We start from the raw sequence: 18,945 nt of genomic DNA, 5'->3' as shown, positions 1-18,945 counted from the left end.
GAGAGGGGCTGAAGGTTGAGTTGATCACCACTGGCCTATGATTTAATTAATCATGCCTATGTAATGAAGATTCTATAAAAACTCAGAAAGACTGGGCTCAAGGAGCTTCCAGATAGCAGAACACATGGAGGTTCCTGGAGACTGATATGCTCAAAGAGGATGTGGAAACTCCATGCCTCTTCCTCCATACCTTGGCCTCTCCATCTCTTCATCTGGTGTTCATTGGTATCCTTTGTAATATTCTTTATAATAAACCAGTAAATGTAAGTATTTCCCTGAGTCCTATGAGCCACATTAGCAAATTAATCAAATCTGGGGGAGGGGGTCCTGGGAATCTTGCTTTACAGCCAGTTGGTCAGAAGTAAAGGTAAAACAACCAGGGTCTTGTGATTGGCATCTGCGGTGGGAGGCAGTCTTGTGAGACTGAGCCCTCAACCTACGGGACCTGATGCTAACTTCAGGTAGATAATCAGAGTTGAATTGCACTGGAGGACATCCAGCCTGCATCCACTGCAGAAATGATTGCTTGTTTGGTTTGTGGGGAACCCCATCCCACCTCCATTTGGTTACAGAAGTATTCTGTGTTGATTGTCGTAGAGTGAGAGCAGAGGAAAAACAGTTTGTTTTTCTACAGCTGAAAAGTTGGGAGTAGACTGGCTATTTGCTTGTTTATTGTTATTGTTGTTTGGGGAGAGAGTGGATGACTGCTGGGAGAAGCAGCAGAGGCCAGATTACAAAGGGTCTTGTCACCATGCCAGGGGGAGGCAGAGCTACCCAGGGGCTCCAACTATGTTTACAGTGTTTTATTTCCTGTGTGGGTGTTGTATATACAGGTGCTTATTATATTATTCTTCATCCTTGTGTCTCTAAAAGATTCTTATTTTTGAAAATGACTTAGAAAAAATAAAAGCATTTAGGAGGTAAACAAACCCAAAGAATAGACTGGAATCATCACCTCTCCTTACAGAGACGTAGTTCTGGGAAGGTGCCCTAAAGTCTCAAGCTTTTTTCACACCAGCTCACACGATAAGAGACAATCACCAGCTCCAATAATGTTTGACAGTGGCCTGGTTGGAAACCACTTTTTTTTAAAGAGACAGAGTCTCGCTCTGTCGCCCAGCCTAGAGTGCAGTGGCGCGATCTCGGCTCACTGCAAGCTCCGCCTCCCGGGTTCACGCCATTCTCCTTCCTCAGCCTCCCGAGTAGCTGGGACTATAGGCACCTGCCACCACGCCCGGCTAATTATTATTATTATTTTTTATTTTTTGGTATTTTAGTAGAGACAGGATTTCACCGTGTTAGCCAGGATGGTCTCGATCTCCTGACCTCGTGATCTGCCCACCTCGGCCTCCCAAAGTTCAGGGATTACAGGCATGAGCCACCGCACCTGGCCAGAAACCACTTTTATAGTTTGGATCTCAGACCCAAGGACAAAAGTTCACTCATGCCTGTCTTTAGTGCAAGTTCTCTAGATTAAGCCTGAAGAAACTTTTTGGATTCTGGTCTTAATTATTATCTAGGACATTCCTGCTGGCTTCGTACTAGTCATAAATTGATCAGTATGCCATCTCTGTTCCCAGAGAAGATATTAAAAATTACAGGGCAAATGCAATGTAGTATCCTGGATTGGATCTCGGAAGAGAAGAAGGACATTTGTGGAAAAACAGGCAAAATCCAGATAAAGTCTACAGCTTAGTTAATAGTAAAATACCTATGTTATCTCTTAGTCTTGACAAATGCGCCATGGTTATGTAAGCTGTTGACATTTAGGAATAGTTGGATAAAGAGTATATAGGAACTTTCTGTGCCATTTTTGCAGCTTTTATATAAATCTGAAATTATTTCAAAATTGGGAGTCTATTTACAAATTCAGGTGGGCTGGGCAGGGCTAAGGATTTAGCTCTGCCGCAGGCTGCTAGAGCCCTATTCCCAGTTGACAACTGTGTACAGTTGTTGAGCCAGTAATCAATGGGTCTTATTGTGATAAAGTCTAGCTCATCTTTCCCTTTCTTGTGCATTTATAAGTGCCTTGTTGAAGCTAGTGCATTCCATATCTGTTGTATTTTCCTGCTTTCCCACCCAGTAACTCTTTTCAAAAGGAAATAAAGATGATAATAGTGCACTTTGCAGAGAAACTCAACTTGATCAAAAGATTTGCCGGAGGATGCCTGGAAATAGCATGTTTCTTACTACATTTTAAGAAATTCATCTACTAAAGTTGCATGTTCATATGCCTTTTCAGACTCTGAAGCAATGCGGACTTGTTTTCCTGAGGAAACAAAGGGAGAAAGAGGGATTCTAGGGTAGTAGAGCACCGCAATCATAATGGACCTGTATTGAAACTACACACACCATTACATATTAACCTTCCTTGGAGCTTTCTTGTGTCCACTTTGCTAGGAGGGACCCAAGAAGGTGGACTAAAGAAGAGCCAGTCACCCATGGAAGCATCCCATTCTGACTTCGAGATCTGGTGACCTTTCAGTCTTTCCCAGACAGGCTACACGGCAAACTGTCCTCCACTTACATCATTCTAATTGTCCCTGCTGATTAATGAGGTCACTTACGGTATCAATTATTATCCTATCAAGAGAATGAATATGAGACTGAAACAAATGCCCATGAACTTGCTTATTCTATTAAAAAATAAAGTAATGAGAGATGATTGATGGTGTGTGCCCCAAGAGAAGGCGTGGGAAGGGATGGACAGTAGAGAGAGGTAGAAATGAGCATGTTCTGATTAGGGGTTAAAAGAGGCTTTTGTTTAAAAGTAGTTCGCCATTGACCCTCTTCCTTCCAAAGCCACTTATTGAGAGAGCTGTCCAAACTCCTTGTCTCACATGCTTCCTTCCCATCACCAGCTTGCTCTTTGTCCCCCAGTTTCAGCCTTGCCACTGACACTGCTCTCGAGCAGGTCACCACCACTGTCCTCATTGCCAAATCCACGGACCCTCTTAGTCGTCTCTTACCAAGCCCCTCAAAAGCGCTTGCTGCCAATGACCTAATTCTTCTCGAAACACTTATACCACCAATTCCTCATTCATTCATTCAATCTCGTGTATATTTACTGAGCATCCACTGTGTACCAGGCACTGAGCCAGGGACTGAGCATACTAGAGTAAGCATGATGGACACAGTCCTTCTTGTTCTAAATGGAGTTTGCATTCAGATAGAGGAAGATAGGCAATTAACAAGTACACACATATAAATGAGCTGTGTTAGTCTGGGTTCTCCAGAGAAATAGAACCTATAGGATACTCAATAGATCCTATAGGATACTCTCTCTCCTCTTTCTCTTTCTTACACACACACACACACACACACACACACACACACAGTTGTCCCATAGGGGATTGATTTCTCGACCCCCCCCCCATGGATATAAAAATCTGCAGATGCTTAAGTCCCTTATTTAAAATGGTGTAGTAATTGCATATAACCTCCCATATCCTCCCATATCCCTTAAATCATCTCTAGATTACTGACAATACCTAACACAGTGCAAACACTATGTAGTAATTGTACTGCGTTGTTTTAAAATTTTTATTATTTTTATTAATATTATTTATTATTTAATATTTTCAATGCATGGTTGGTTGACTCTGCAGATGGGGAACGCTACTGTGTGTATGTGTGATGTGTGTGTGTGTGTGTGTGTGTGTGTATACATATGCTTTATTATAAGGAATTGGCTCACATGGTTGTGAAGACTGAGATCTGCAGTTGGCAAGCTGGAGACCCAGGAAAGCTGATAATGTAAGTTTCAGTCTGAGTTCCCATCAGAAGACGAGAGAAGACCAATACCCCCGGTTGAAGACAGTCAGAGAGAGTACCTTCTCCCTTACTCAGATTTTTGTTCTATTTAGGCCCTTAATGGATTGGATAACCCCCACCCCCATTAGTGAGGGCAGTCTACTGATTCAAATGTTAATCTCACCCAGAACCTCCCTCACAGACACACCCAGAATAATGTTTAACCAAATATCTGGGCATCCTGTGCCCTGTAAAGTTGGCACCTGATATTAACCATCACAAATCCACCCCTTGTCAACTCTGCACTATATACATCTTAAAACACACTTAACTGCCAAATAAAGACAATAACAAACTTACAATTTTGCCTAATATGACATGACTATCCTGCATTAACCCCTCACCAGAGGAGGAGACAAAATCTTGGAATGGTGTTTACTCTTCCTGATATCCTGCAACTTAAATACTATGGTGTAAAAGTAACAATACTTAAATACCATAACATAAAGTTATTATATCTTATGCTATATGAAAAAGGAAAAAGAAAACAAATACATATTACTTAATATATATGTATGTGTGTATATTTATATATTTATATTTACGTATATTTATATACACACATGAATAGATATATCCTTATATACACATGCAAACACTCATAACAAAATAAAGAGGGATACTCATAACAATGACAGTCTTTATTTCTGTAACTGGCTATGTGGTCACAGCTGGTATTTATAACTAACTCTTTCACTACCCATTCTGTATTCCCTTTGTCTTCAGCAAGCATCACAGCTGATCATGGTTCTTTACCACGTGGGGTGACCTAAACTTAAAGTGCCTGAGCCATTAATAGTCCTGCCTGGATTGAGTTGTTCTGGTTTTTCATTGATCTTAATCATAGGCCATGATAATACTAAGAGATAACCTAAGGGATCTTCTTTATTCCAGACATAATCTTCCTTACCTCCATTGTGTAGTAGCAGTCCCATTTCTGTTTGGTAGTGAGAATCAATCACCCTGGCTAGCATAGTTACTCTTTTCTTTGCCTGTTGATTCAGAGGTATGAGGAGTGCAAAGTGCCCGGGTAGCAGTCTTAACTTTCAGCACAGTAGGATCATTGTTGTGACACCTGGAACTAAGACCTCTGGGCTAGCATAGCATATGCTAGCCTCTGGACTTGCATAGCATATGCTAGCCTCTGGGCTAGCATAGCATTAATTTTCAGCTCAGTAGGATCATTGTTGTGACACCTGGTGGGAGCATTCCTCCCTTTGGAACTAAGACCTCTGGGCTAGCATAGCATAAGGTCATAGAACAGGAAGGAAACACTTTGTCAGTTGGTCACTAGAGGTAATAGTAAGTGGAGCTACTCCTATTTCCATCCCTTGATTTCTAGACTTGTGAATCCTGGCTATGGGAGAAAGAACACTATATATGCATGCTGATTCAGAGCATATACAGCCTTCTGGAGAACCTTGTCCCAGCGCTGCAAGGTATTGCCACCTAGCTGGCATTGTAATTGAGTCTTGAAAAGGCCATTTCATTGTTCTACCTAGCCAGCTGCTTCAGATTGGAGGGTTCACATGGTAGGACCAGTGAATCCCATGAGCATGAGCCCACTGCCACACTTCTTTGGCTATAAAGTGAGTTTATTGGTCAGAAGCAGCACATTGTGGAATACCATGACAGTGGATTAGGCACTATGTAAGTCCAAGGATGGTAGTTTTGGCAGAAGCACTGCATACAGGGAAAGCAAATCCATATCCAAAATAAGTGTCTGTTTCAGTAAGAACAAAACACTTCTCCTTCTACAATGGAAGCAGTCCAGTGTTATCTAACTGCCACCAGGGTAGTTGGCTTATCATGCCAGGGAAGGGTACCATTTTGGGAACCCCACTTCTGGTACCAAAATCTGTTTTGGTCTCTTTGGGCTGCCATCAGAAAATACTCGTAGACTGGGTGGCTTAAACAGTAGAAATTTATTTTCTAACTGTCCTGAAGGCTAAAATGCAAGATCAGGGTGCCAGAATGGCCTGATTCTGGTGAGAGGTTTCATCCTGGCTTGCAGATAGCTGCATTCTCACTGCATCTTCACATTGCAGACAGGGTCGGCAAGAGAGGCAGAGAAAGGGGTCTTTTCTTATAAGGGCACTAATCTCATGTTGGAAGTCCCATCCTTATGACCTCATCTAATCCTAACTACCTCCCGAAGATCCCACCTCCAAATACCAATTCAACATATAAACTTTGGGAGTTCACACTCAGTCCATTACCTAAGCCATCCAGGTAGTGGTAATTGTTATGAGAAAAATAAAGCAGAGCAACTGGCAGAGTATGACAAGGCGCAATCAATGGAACCTTTTTGGGAAGTGATACCTCACTTGTTTTCACATGTCAGTCCCTTAAAGCTTGCCACTGTCTTCAGGGTTTCATGTTTTCTTCTGTGGCACCTCACTCTATACACTTGGATTGGATCTTAGGGGTGAGCAAGTCCCTGTTTTACAGTATGTCACTAAAAGTGATTCAAAAGATGGCATCTGGGGTTGGGGGGCAAAACCCAGTTCCAAATTCCAGCTGACAGTTATCCTAAGGGTCCAGGCAGAAAAGCAGAATTCAGGGATAAGGCAGCAGTTCAGAATCCAGGGTCATCTACCGTAATATGAATGGTGCTCCTGAAAGATGTGCAACATAGTGGCCCTGAAAAATCCTAGAAGCTGCAGCAGAGTTAGAGGTTCACAACAGACACTGGGAAGTAAGGCCTGAGAAAGTCCCTGAACCACCTGCAAAAACTCTCCAGTGACCAAACTCTCTTACTGCCTCTGTGGCTCCTCCCTCTCTTGTCTACAGATGAGGCCCACAGGTAAAGCCTCTTTGCTATTAACTGCAAATATCGATGGTTTGGATGTAATTCAGGTTGACCCTCCACTGTTCACAACGTGTGACTTGGGCTTGGGTAATCACGTTTCACACTTCACAGCTGTGGGCTCAGCCTACCCTGCAGTCCCAGCCTGAGCAAAAACCCTGGAGCCCCTCTTACTGAGAAGGGTCTCTCCACATTTCCTTCTGGAGAAGGAACCATGGTTCTGGAGACCATGGTTCTGGAAGCTCCTGTTTCTCCTAGTTCCCTGGAGTATGGGAAACAGTGGGCATAGTGTCCTGGTGCCTGACCCTCCCTTCCAAGTGGGCCAACAAGCATTTCTGTCCAGTTCACAAAGACAGGGCCTGATATTCTCCCACTTCATGGCCAACACCTTCTGGTGGTGGCTATGCAGCAGCTGATAATAATATGTTTAGTATTAACCTGTGCACAGGTGCTGCCTGTAGCACACTGCAAAGCGCTGTCTTTAAATGGAGACCTAATCTTTCAAACCAGGTGCGGTGCTCAAAACCAGCTCTGGCGGCCAACAGGAAGGGCATTGTGGTACAGAGCAGGTAAGGAGAAGACCCCCATTCTTTCTGTCCATCTTCTCCATCCTCTTGCAGGCATGTTCAGCATCTTTTGCCTTCTTAGAATTCTCAGAGGCTCCACCTGCTCCTTCCCCAGGTTGGCCTGAGCAGCTGTCCGAGGGGGTAGGTGGGCACAAAGCCCTCAGGATGCAGAATCTGCTGACCATTCACTGATATTTTTATAATTGTTGTTTGTGTCTCTCTGGCACACAAGGAACAAATCCTAGCCTGGCACCATCTGAGGGCCTGGGTAAATCTCAGCTGTTCCATCAAACCTCCTGGGGTGGTCCAAACTTTAAGGGCTGCCTTGACAGAGAGCAGTTTCCATTCCTAAATGGGTGATGTCACTAAGCCTGATTTAGGGGAGGTAGATATGGAAGGCAGCACCTGTGCACGGGTTAATAACAAACATCATCATTATTATCAGCTGCTGCATAGCCACTGCCAGAAGGCATTGGCCACGAAGTGGGAGGCAGGCTTCTGGAACATGACGACCTCTCTTCCTCAAAGCTTCCTTCCCCATTTCCATCCTTGCCAACCTCCTGACACGTGGTGCTGGATACTTCAGTCTCTGTCATGGAAGACCAAGTTGGCTCAGGGGTTTTCAGGCTTCTGTGGAAGTAAATGAAGTCTGCATCTGCTAGAAGGCTGAGCAGCCTCCAGAAAAATCCCCTCTCTTGGGGAGACTGGTAATTAAGCAGTCATGGCAAACAAGTGGAGGAGGAACATCTGGTTGTATCCATTTGTTCTCCTGTCATTAGTTGGGGAACAATTTTATAAATTACACGTAAAGTGGGTTTTGTCTTTCCTCTGCTTGTGCCATCCTCTTTGAGATGACCTCCGTATCCTACCACAGCCCGCCATGCCCTTTGGATGATTGGCTAACAATTTATCTTTTTAGATCAGCTCAGGCTGGTGCATCAAGTTCCCTGGATGCATCCTTATCACTGCACTTACTATATTGCATTATAATTGTGTCTTCAGTAATTACCTCCTATGGTGTATCTGGTGCTGTTCTCAATACTGGGGTTAGATAAGTGAACTAAGTGGATAGAAATCCCTGCCCTCGTGGAATTCACACACTGGTGGGAAAAGGTAGACGTAATAAATAAGGAGTGATCAAATATATAGGAAGTCAGATTATGATAAGTGTTAGGAGAAAATGCAGGACAAGGGGAATCAGGAAATGGGACAGGAGGGGAGGAGGGTTGCAATTTTAAGTAGAATAGTTATCAAAGCCTCGGTGTAAAGGGTATGTGAACAAAGACCTGCAGAAGATGAAGGAACAAGCCATACACATCTGGGGGAAGAGATGAGGTAGCTGGAGGAAACTGAGAGAAGAGCAGGTGCAAAGGCCCTGAGGCAGAACTTGCCAGGTGTGTTTTAGGAACAGCAAGCGGCCGTTATGGTTAGAGTGAGTGAGCAGGGGGAGGTAGTTGGTGATAAGGAGGGTGGTGATGGAGTGGGAGCGGGTAGTGGCAGCAGAGGATTCCCTAGGGCCTTTAGACCATTATGAAGACTTTGGCTTTTATCCCAAATCGAGTGGGATGCTTTTGGAAGGGTTTCAAGCAGAGAAGTGACATGATCTGACTTAAGATGATCACAGAAGCTGCTGTGTTAAAGAGGATCTGTAGGTGGACTAGGAGGAAAGTAGGAAGACTGGTTAGGAGGTTACTGCAGTAATTGAGGCAAGAGATGGAGGTGTCCTGTTCCAGGATGGTAGTAATGAAGGTGATGAGAACTGGCTGGATTTCTAGATAAATTAATGTAAATGCCTCCGTTTGAGGGTAAATCCCTCGAGAGTGAGTCCACGTCTTAGGCATTTTTATCCTGAGAACCAAGCATAGTACATAGCGTTTAATAGGGCATACAATTAATATTTGTTGAATGAATGATTGATGAGAAAAATTTGTAATTGTTACCGGTGGGAATAAGCCAGCCTTAATCTCTTTTGTGAACCTATCAGATCATAGAGACAAATCATGGGTAACATCTATTTAGTTTCTCAACTGATGTCGTAAATAAAGCTATTCATGCATGTACTGAACCAAGAAGTGTGGGGTACGCTGGATCCAACTGTATTTGTCTATTATTCAGGACTTTCCAAAGCTTTTCATACAGTAATGCAAAGGTTCCCAAAGTTTCTTAGGTGCCATTAGTGTCTCAGTAATGTTTCCACGGTGCTCCATGGGTAAAAGAAATACCTATTAGCTCCACTTATTAAGTAGTTAGGTCCAAATAACTGAATAAGTATTTATACCCCAACAACTCTGTATCTGTTTGAAGATAATATAAATTGAAAGAAAAACATTTTTGTTTCATCCTTAAATAATTGTTAAATAACAATTGATTGCTAATGGTATGTGTTTCCTTGTTGGTCATTGCAAAGATTCTCAAACCTTGGACTCAGATTGGACACTACCACCTGCATATCCTGTTCCACACTGATTCACACATGGTCCCTAATTCCCATCACACCAACTACCAAAGCTTTGCAAAGATATGATGTCATCTAACGGAAGGTAGCTTTACACTGAAATTGTGAACCACCTTGAGCTAATAGTTTGTGTGTCCAGCAGATATTAAGTGCCACTATTTCCTTTGAAAGTTAAAAATAGTCCTTGGTTACCCTTGTAAACTCACTGCAATGCCCTGGGGCACCTTGGTGCACCGTTTGGGAACCATGGTGCATTTCCCAAAATTACTTATTTTTTTCAGGCAAACCTACTAACATCATATTGGATAGTATTCTGTGCAACATGATTTGGGAACCGTTGGGGTAGAGCACATCAAGAGGGCTCCCTGCTGCAGAAGGAGACGCTGCAGTCCAATGGGAAACACCCCTGAGTTTTGATGGAGCGAGTGTGCTTAGAGGATTTGCATTCTGAACGTAGTGCTTCTCCCCTATTTTTAGACCTCAGCAGGTGGGTCTGCTGTGACTCCAGATCTTGCTTCTAAAGAGAGTCCACATCCTAGAAAGTGTACTGTATATGGGGATTTGGAGGTCTAGCTTTGCTCCCATCCAGTCATACTTAAGACAGGTATCCCAGCCTCCAAAAATAAATGCACATGTGCAGCTGAAAGCAGAGGTTTGCAGAGCCAGTAGATGTTTTCTGGAGAGGCAGGGACATTCTAGACAAGATCCTTTGGACATAAGTTGGGTTTTTTCAGCAGATATCTAGCTAATGCAAGATTGCCCTCTTAAATGGGAGTTTATTACAAGGATCTCCAGATCTTGAGACAGCACAAGAATAATCTCTTTAGACTTCCTCTCATTCTGGGTTTCAGGGTGTTGAAGACTGAGAGTGTCAGTGGTCTCATAGCTAATGTAGCTACAGCCTCAGCTCCATGATCTACCTTCTCTGGGCATATCCTTTCCCAGAGAGATTTCCACAGAACCCCAGCCCACAAGATGCTTTAAGAATAAAGGAGTCTATGATGTATATATAGAAAGGCACAAAAAGCCTAGATTTTCCACATTTCCCAGTTTTAGAAGCTCTTGATGAAATGCAAAGGGGAATTACCAGTGAAAACCTGTGTTTGTAGGGGTGTGTGTGTGTGTGTGTGTGTGTGTGTGTGTGTGTGTGTATGGTGTGTGATTATGACTAATGTCCATCAATTACCTGCAAATTACTAGATGATGCCTGTAATGATAGTTCTGTTTTTAGCTTAATGGTTTATGTATCTAACTAGTGGCTGCTGTCTGGAGTAGGGCTGCTGGCAAATCAAAACACTATTTGCCAAGCCTGTCAGTGTGACAAACGTTGCTTACATTTACTCTTTTATTCCCAAGGTCAATTGGTATGTCTTTTTTCATATCACTGTTTGATGTGCTAACAGCCTTAAATGAGAACCATTCAATAAAGGCCCAATTTGCTATATTACTATTTATTCCTAGGTAATTCTATATTAGTTTGGCTCTTTAAGATTGCAAAGAAGAGACATGCATAGATCACCCTCGGAAGTGGAGGCTTATCACATGGTTCTCCAGATCTCGGGGCAGCACAGAACCACATCTCAGACCTTTGGTCACTCTGGGTTTCAGAACTTTCAAGATAGGGAGTGTCAGCAGCCTCATGGCTGACATAGCAACAGCCTCATGATTGTTGTAGCAACAGCCTCAGCTTCATAATAACCTGCATTCTCTGGGCCTATTGTTTCCCAGAGAGGGTTCCACAGAACCCCAGCCCACAGGATGCTTTAGGAATAAAAGGGGCTATAATATAATGGGTTTGGGATCTGTTACATAATCTATTCCAGCCTTGAAGGTTTACATTGACTTAGCTTGTTAAAAGTCCTCCTACGCATTTTATTTTTTAATTGTTTTCTGAAAAATCCCTGCTTTATTTAACCCAGCATTTCCCAATTCTGTTTAACCGGTGAACATTCTAGAAACATGCTTTGAAAAATAACCTAGTTTTGGTACTTTCCAGAAAAATCTGGTTGTATTAATTTGTCAGTCTCTGTGTTGGGGGGTCTGCATCACCACCCGCATGATTTATTAGGACTCATAGGATTCAGTATAAATTTGTACCCATGGCTATGATTTATTATAGTGAAAGGATACAGAGCAAAGTCAGCAAGGGGAAAAGGTGCATCCTGGGGCGATGGCTGGGAGAAGCCAGGCACAAGCTTCCAAGAGTTTTCTTCTGGCAAAGTCACACAGGTCGTGCTTCAAACCCCTGGCAACTAATTGTGACAACACATATGAAATATTGCCAACCAGGAAAGCTCAGCAGAGACTCATTGCCCAGGGTTTTCCCACAGAGATGATTACCTAGACCCCTCTTCCTGTCACATACCAAAATTCTAGGCTCCCAGGTGGAAAGCAGGTGTTCAGCATAAACCATAATGTTTGTACAAATTGTTTAGACCTCTCTTGAAAGTACTGGAAATGGAGGGAACCCTCCTGAAATCCCGGTTCCCAGATGCCAGACAGGGATTATACTTGTAAGCTGGCCTTTCAAAGGATAGCAGTCAGGCCTTTTCTGTCTGCTTTCTCATAGTGAAACCGTCATTTATTGACTCTATATTGCATCTAATATGTACTGTGCACTAGTGATATAGTGAAAAGGTTATAGATAGTCTTTGCCTCCAAGAGACTTACCATCAAGAAGGAAAGACAGATATATAACAATTCAGTAAGAAAATCGATTCATGATCATTGGGATGAATGTTACAAAGTAGAAGTACTCTATTCTCTGAGGACATTTATCAAGGATCCCTAAACTCTTTCCCAGAGGAACTGATGCTGAAAGTGAGCCCTGAAAAGCTAATGCAGGGTTGGGGGGAAGGTAAGGTGGAGGCCGCCTGGGTGGCAAAGGGATACATCTGGGCACAGAGTCCTAGGGACAGCATCTGCAAAGGCCCTGAGATGGGAAGAGATGTGGCACCTTCAAGGACAGTATAAGAAGCCAGCTTATGCCTGTAATCCCAGCACTTAGGGAGGCTGGGGCAGGTGGATCACGAGGTCAGGAGATTGAGACCATCCTGGCTAATACTGTGAAACCCTGTCTCTACTAAAAATACAAAAAAATTAGCTGGGCGTGGTGGCGGGCACCTGTAATCCCAGCACTTTGGGAGGCCAAGGCGGGCAGATCACGAGTTCAGAAGATCGAGACCATCCTGACTAACATGGTCAAACTCCATCTCTACTGAAAATACAAAAAAAAAATTAGCCAGGCATGGTGGTGGCCTGTAATCCTAGCTACTCGGGAGGCTGAGGAAGGAGAATGGTGTGAAACCCCGGAGGCAGAGCTTGGAGAGAGCCGAGATCACGCCACTGCACTCCAGCCTGGGCCACAGAGCGAGACTCCTTCTCAAAAAATAGAAGCCAGTGTGGGTAGAGGGGGAAAGACCAAAGGGGAGAGAGCCATGAGCTGAGGTAGAAAGAAAGGCAGGCCAGGTCTTGCAAGGCAAAGCCTCGGGCCACGTCACCCAGAGAGCCATCCATCTCTGTCATTCCTGATCATTATGTCCTTCTAGCTGATCCAGATCTCTTATTTCACTTGAGGCCTAGGGAACCAGTCCCAGCAACACTCACTCAGGGACGACTCAGGGCTCTGCCTCCATCCTCAGAAAGTTATGAAAAGTGGGGGTTTATCACATGGTTCTCCAGATTTTGGGGCAGCACAGAGACAATCTTAAAGAGCCCAACTAATATAGAATTATCCAGGAATAAATGGTAATATAGCAAATTGGGCTTTTATTGAATGGTTCTCATTTAAGGCTGTTAGCACATCAAACAGTGATATGAAAAATGACATGCCAATTTGACCTTGGGAATAAAAGAGTAAGTGTAAGCAACACTTGTCACACTGACAGTCTTGGCAGATAGTGTTTTGATTTGCCAGCCGCCCTACTCCAGACAGTTTCAGAAAGTTCCATGTGCCTGGAAGACATTTGGACAAAGCCTAATTCTTCCGTCTTTCCCTGTCTTCTATGTTTTTCTATCAAGCAGGAATCAAGACTTACATTTACTCCAGTAATGGGGTCAACCCAATGTACTAATAGACTCCATAATTCCAGGTTGGAGTTTGTTGAGATCAGAGTTTCATTATGGCCTTTCTCACTGGTTCTCTGACTGGCAAAAGCAAAGCCATGTCTCTGAGCTTGGCCCAAGATTCAACCAGGTATGTTCCTCCTCCTCTCTGAGGATCAGCATCTGAGACCTGTTGCCACTCAGTAAATATTTGAGGGATTAAAATTGGATTGAACTTGAGAGGTGGCACGCTCATACCTTTGGCAGATGTGAATGCCAGTGTTCTTCTCTGCGTGGAGCCCAAGTGTGTCTCTCTGGAGCCTCTGTCCTGTGGTCCTTTTTCTTTGCCAAGCATTTCATGAGGACATTGGTGTGTCAAGCATGGCCCTAGGGATGTGGAGACAGTTCTTATCCTTTGCCTTGCCAACTCTGTTGGACCCCAGACTATACGTGCCTACTGTCTTCAACTGTTCCTCACCCCACAGGGTGAGGGGTCTTTTAGGGTCTCCTTGCTGCAAGCCTGGCACGTCAAAGCCAAGAGACCCCAGCCTGAGGAAGTGAGTAGTTGGTCAGCTTGAGAGCCTTGAAGTTCTCAAACATGGGCACAAACTCCTGGAGTAAGAAAATGAGCTTTCATTTCCATGGGTAGGAATTTGCAGACACTTCACTTGGGTGGAAGAAATGTCATATTCCTGCATTAAAAACAATTTGACTTTGAGTCCCATGCATAAAGGGGAAGAATTTCACTTCAGCCACTGTTGGGATTCTCCCAAGCAAGGTCTTACATAGACCTGGCATTCCAGGAAGACCCTCAGGTCTCAGTCCACACTGGGCATTGTTGATGTGCTCAAGGCCTCAGTGACACCTGAAGGCAGGAAGCTCAGTTGTATCCGAGCCAAATTCTGGTGGGGGAGTTCAAGTCCTTCTGCTTAGAATGGGAGTCCTTTTGTGTACAGTCCAGCACTTCTGTCCCCTCTTCCTTATTTAAATAAATAAATAAATGGCCCATTTATTTATTTTTGAGACAGGGTCTCATTCTGTCACCCAGGCTGGAATGCAGTGACATGATCATAGCTCACTGCAGCCTCAAACTCCTGGGCTCAAGCAATCCTTCTGCCTCAGACTCCTGAGTAGCTGGGACTACAGGCATGCACCACCATGCACAACTATTCTTGAAAGTTTTTGGAAAAACAGGATCTCACTATATTGACCAGGGTGATCTCGAACTCCTGGCCTCAAGCGATACTCCTGCCTCGGCCTCTCAAAATGTTGGGATTACAGGCACAAGCTACTGCACACAGCCTAATAATACCCTCTTTAAAATAAAAGCTCCCACCCTTTTATTTTTCCTGGAATGATTAGGAAGAAGTGGAGGTGTTCGAAGCAGTCTGCTTTTTCCTTATATCTCGCCTCATTTCATGGGTGTGAAGGGGATTTGCCATGTCACTAAGTGTTACTTAGCCCAAGTCTGGATGTCTCTCCCTCCTGTTGTCTATACTGCCAGCATCAGAGTCACCTAAGACTCTGTGTGGCTGCTCCTCGAAACACCAAATAGTTGGCCATTCATTCATTTATCCATTCATTTAGAAATACACATGCAAGGTGAGCAACACAAACTCAGCCATGGCTCTTGGGGTGCTTTCATCTAGTCAGGGAGACCTTAATGAAAACTACTCACCCCAATAAACATCTAATTAGGAATTATGGTTAGTGCTAGTAAAGAAAAGAAAAGAAAAGGGATGTCAGTCAGGATAGGTCAGGTTATACTCTGTGTACTAATCATGGTTTTTTAATTGTCTGTATTTTCTGATACTTTGACATCTTGGGACTTTGTTGACCTAAAATAGCAAAGAGCTCTCCCGGAAGTATGCCTTTCATATGCAAACTGATGATCCCAATTGGGTAGAGCACAACTAAGTCTTTTATTATTTTTTTTTTAATTTAATTTTTTTTTTGAGTCAGGATCTCACTTTTTTGCCCAGGCTGGAGCACAGTGGTACGATCGTGGGTCACTGCAGCTTCGAACTCCTAGGCTCAAGTGATCCTCCCACTTCAGCCTCCTGAATAGCTGGGACCACTTAAGCCCCCTGAGTAGCTGGGACCACAAGTTTAGCTGAGTAACCACCACACTCAGACAAATTTTTGAAAACATTTTTATAGAGATGGGATTTCACCATGTTGCTCAGGCTGGTCTTGAACTCCTGAGCTCAAGTGATCCTCCCACCTTGGCCTCCCAAAGTGCTGGGATTACAGGTGTGAGCCACTATGCCTGGCCTCTACCTCTTTTATTGAGATCTCATTGTTTATCTACTATCCCCCTGCCCTAATTACCCAGGGCCATACATCAGACAGCTAAGGGTGGTCCACATACCCTGGTGCCCTCTGAAATTATTCAAACTAGGCAATCCTAAACCTGCTCAGCTGCTTACCTGATCTTGCCCATTCCTTCTTGGGAAAACCACAATAAAGGCTCTTGCCCACATTTACCCAGGCTCCTTCTGCCTTGTCACTGACGCTGGAGCTTCTGACATGCTTGTGGCCCTGCATGGCATAGTATGCCCCTTCCTCTAGGAAACTGTGTTATCTTTTCAGCGGCAGTGTCTTCTGATCTGTTGGCCTCACCATACCTGAATGGTAGTAACAAAACCTACAAGTGAAAACATGGTGGTAGCAAACAACCCTCAAATTGAAATGGCTTAACTCACCAAAAGTTTATTTCTTGCTCATGCTGCAGATTCAAAAGAGGTTTGCAGGGGCTCTTTGCTTAGGGGAGTTGCTCAGAGACCGTGGCTGCGGAGGCCAAGGATCACTGACCTTGGATAAGGGGAAGGGAATTCAGCAAAAGGTACACAGGCTGTTCAAGCCTCCCTCCTGGCAACAGTGACCTTCACTGCTACCCAAATCTCCCTGGCCAAGCTGGTGTCATGGCCAGGCCTGACCTCCACAGGGGTGGGAGGTGCTGTTCCACTCTGTGTCTAGAAGGAAAGCTGGAAATGCAAGGTGAACCATACCAGTGACTTCACTGGGACCTCTGAGCATGCAGAATAGGCTGGTCTGGGATGTCAGGAATGCACCTTTCTAGAAGTAACGTTGAGACACTCGTGATAAGATTTGAATGATGAGAAAGAGTTAATTAGACAAATCCCAAGGGTTAGAAAGTGTTCTAAATGGGAGACAGTGCGTGCAAAGACCCTGAAGATGGGGCATGGCAAATTGAAGGAACTGAAACCACAGGTGTACGAAGGAAGGGAGTGGGAGAAAAGCGGGGGAAGAGTATTTAATCACTGACATTATTTAGAACATGGATGCATGGTGATAAGAAGTGAACTTTTAAAGTCCATTTTATTATTGATTTCAAATTCCCTACAGGAAATTAATGCCCTTATTGCCTGCACTTTGGGCTGACCACTTCCTTTGCCCTTGGGATGGCCTTGACCAAAGAAGACTGGGGGGCTGGAGCCAGGCAGGAGACAGAGCAGAGAATCTGTCAGGGCCAAGCCATGCAGGATTTGTGAACCTCGTTAGGGATTCTGGCTTTAATCCTAAGAACAGTGGGAGGCTGTGGGTAGATTCTGAGCTGAGAAATGAGGAGTATATGGTGTCCTGGCCGTCCCATTTTCAAGACTCTGGGTTACTTTTGGCAGGAAGGCAAAAACAAAGAAAAGACAGTGGAGAAAATGAGAAGACAATAAGGCTGATGTAAAGCAGAAGATGAGTATTGTTTTACACGTTTGGCTATGCCACCTGTTTGCAAAATGCTGTTCTCTGTGCATTTTAGAGTCTGCAAGGAGGATAACTCATAGCAACAGGGGACTCTCACCTGCCTTGCCATCATTTTACTGCATTTCTCTGCTAAGTCTGGATTTCACTATTGAAGGATACCTCACTCCTTTCAATATGGTATTTAATCTTGTCAGATAAAAGATGGGAAAGTCTGAAAGTTTTATTTGCTCATTCTGTCATGCAACACCATAGCTCCTCCTAACTGCGGGGTCTTCAGCGTGTCTAAAATCGATCTCAAAGATAAGTGGGTGGGGGAGCGATGATTCAGGTATCCAGCTGGGGAGATTCAATTTCCCATCCCCTCCCCCAGCCTTAGCTAGCGCCTTTGAGGAATCCTCCCTGCTGGAATTTATCTACCAACCCTGGGAAAGAGCAGAGCAGTGGTAAATATCTGATTAGAGAAAATGCCTAGCAAGCTGCAATTCCATATATTGTAAGTGATAAAACTGTAATTGTTTGTTGACAGTGTACATTAGCTATTCACAGCTCGCATCAATATAGTACCGAGAAACTAGGGTCTAGGAATCTTTAATGGCAGTGCAAAAATATACTGGAACTAAGTTGGGGAATAAAATCAACAATTTCTGCTTAGTGAGAGGAATGCCATTCTCAGAGAGGACTTCATAGGAGAAGGCCTGGTGAGGTTTGAGCTTCCTCCATGAGGCTCTATGTAGTTGAAGGAAAGGATGGTCCCTAGGCTGAGTGTCTGGGAAGGGCACCCAAGGGCATAATTCTGGTAGACATGGGTGAGAGACAAGTTGCAGCTGCTGTGAATTGGGCCCACCTGGAGATGGAGACAACCAGCGCTTGCTAGGATGGGGTCTGGGGAACCAGATATAGGTCTGGCCTTGCTGGGGACAATTTACTATTTTAATCCATAGGGTACAATGGGATGATGTCAGTCTGTCACTGAAGATACGAATATTTCGGGGGAGGGAAAGGGCAACTGGTGCATGGGCAAGTCAACAGGAAGCCAAGGAATAGGCTAACGGGGGCCCTGTGGCCTGAGTTCTGGTACTGGTAGTCAGCAAGGCTGCAGTCAGTGCCGCCGGTGGGGGCGGGGAGGGTGCAATACAGGCTGGAGTGGATAGGAGGCGGCTGGAGTGAGGGGCCTGGAAAAGACAAAGCTCAAAGCCCAATCCAGGGAGACTGAGTGTAAGTCTGATCTAATGGAGGACTGGCGTACTGTCCAATAGCAATATAATATGAGCCATAGATATAATTTTTTAAAACTTATTAAATTTAATTTTTTATTGGTAGAGGGTGTTTTACTGGGGAAATTCACAGACAGAAGCATGGTCTTGGGTAGCCACAAGGCAGGTAGATCTCTGCAATGTTACTCCCCAGACCCAGGGCATATGTACCATAGGGAAAGGGTGTATGTGTCCAGCCAGACAATGAAAAGCAGCCTCTAGAACAGGCAAGGGTACTGTATGTGTCATAGCCTGTAACTTGTATGATAAACATCAAGATTG

The 18,945-nt window shown here is 44.2% G+C and overlaps 1 protein-coding gene across 12 annotated transcripts in view, besides 2 other annotated features; it reads left to right on the top strand.

Annotated features, from left to right (window-relative positions):
- The window catches only part of CSMD2 (CUB and Sushi multiple domains 2), a 651,845-nt gene that overhangs the window by 110,010 nt on the left and 522,890 nt on the right, over positions 1 to 18,945 (top strand). The window lies entirely within an intron of this gene.
- Positions 4,612 to 4,714: a silencer, noted in NCBI's record as "fragment chr1:34516720-34516822 (GRCh37/hg19 assembly coordinates)". NCBI's record gives its function as "represses an EF-1alpha promoter that drives an FKBP-Casp9 reporter gene in an ReSE screen in phorbol 12-myristate 13-acetate-treated (for megakaryocytic differentiation) K562 erythroleukemia cells {active_cell/tissue: K562(+PMA)}" and the evidence as "EXISTENCE:reporter gene assay evidence [ECO:0000049][PMID:32094911]".
- Positions 16,643 to 17,637: an enhancer, noted in NCBI's record as "H3K4me1 hESC enhancer chr1:34503797-34504791 (GRCh37/hg19 assembly coordinates)". NCBI's record gives its function as "activates a minimal SCP1, AML or CMV promoter by ChIP-STARR-seq in primed H9 embryonic stem cells {active_cell/tissue: H9 hESC(primed)}" and the evidence as "EXISTENCE:reporter gene assay evidence [ECO:0000049][PMID:30033119]".

The sequence above is a fragment of the Homo sapiens genome, chromosome 1, assembly GCF_000001405.40.
Source record: "Homo sapiens chromosome 1, GRCh38.p14 Primary Assembly".
NCBI lineage: Eukaryota > Metazoa > Chordata > Mammalia > Primates > Hominidae > Homo > Homo sapiens.
The sequence above is the reverse complement of the archived record's forward strand: the minus strand, read 5'-3'. Positions and strand labels throughout refer to the sequence as shown.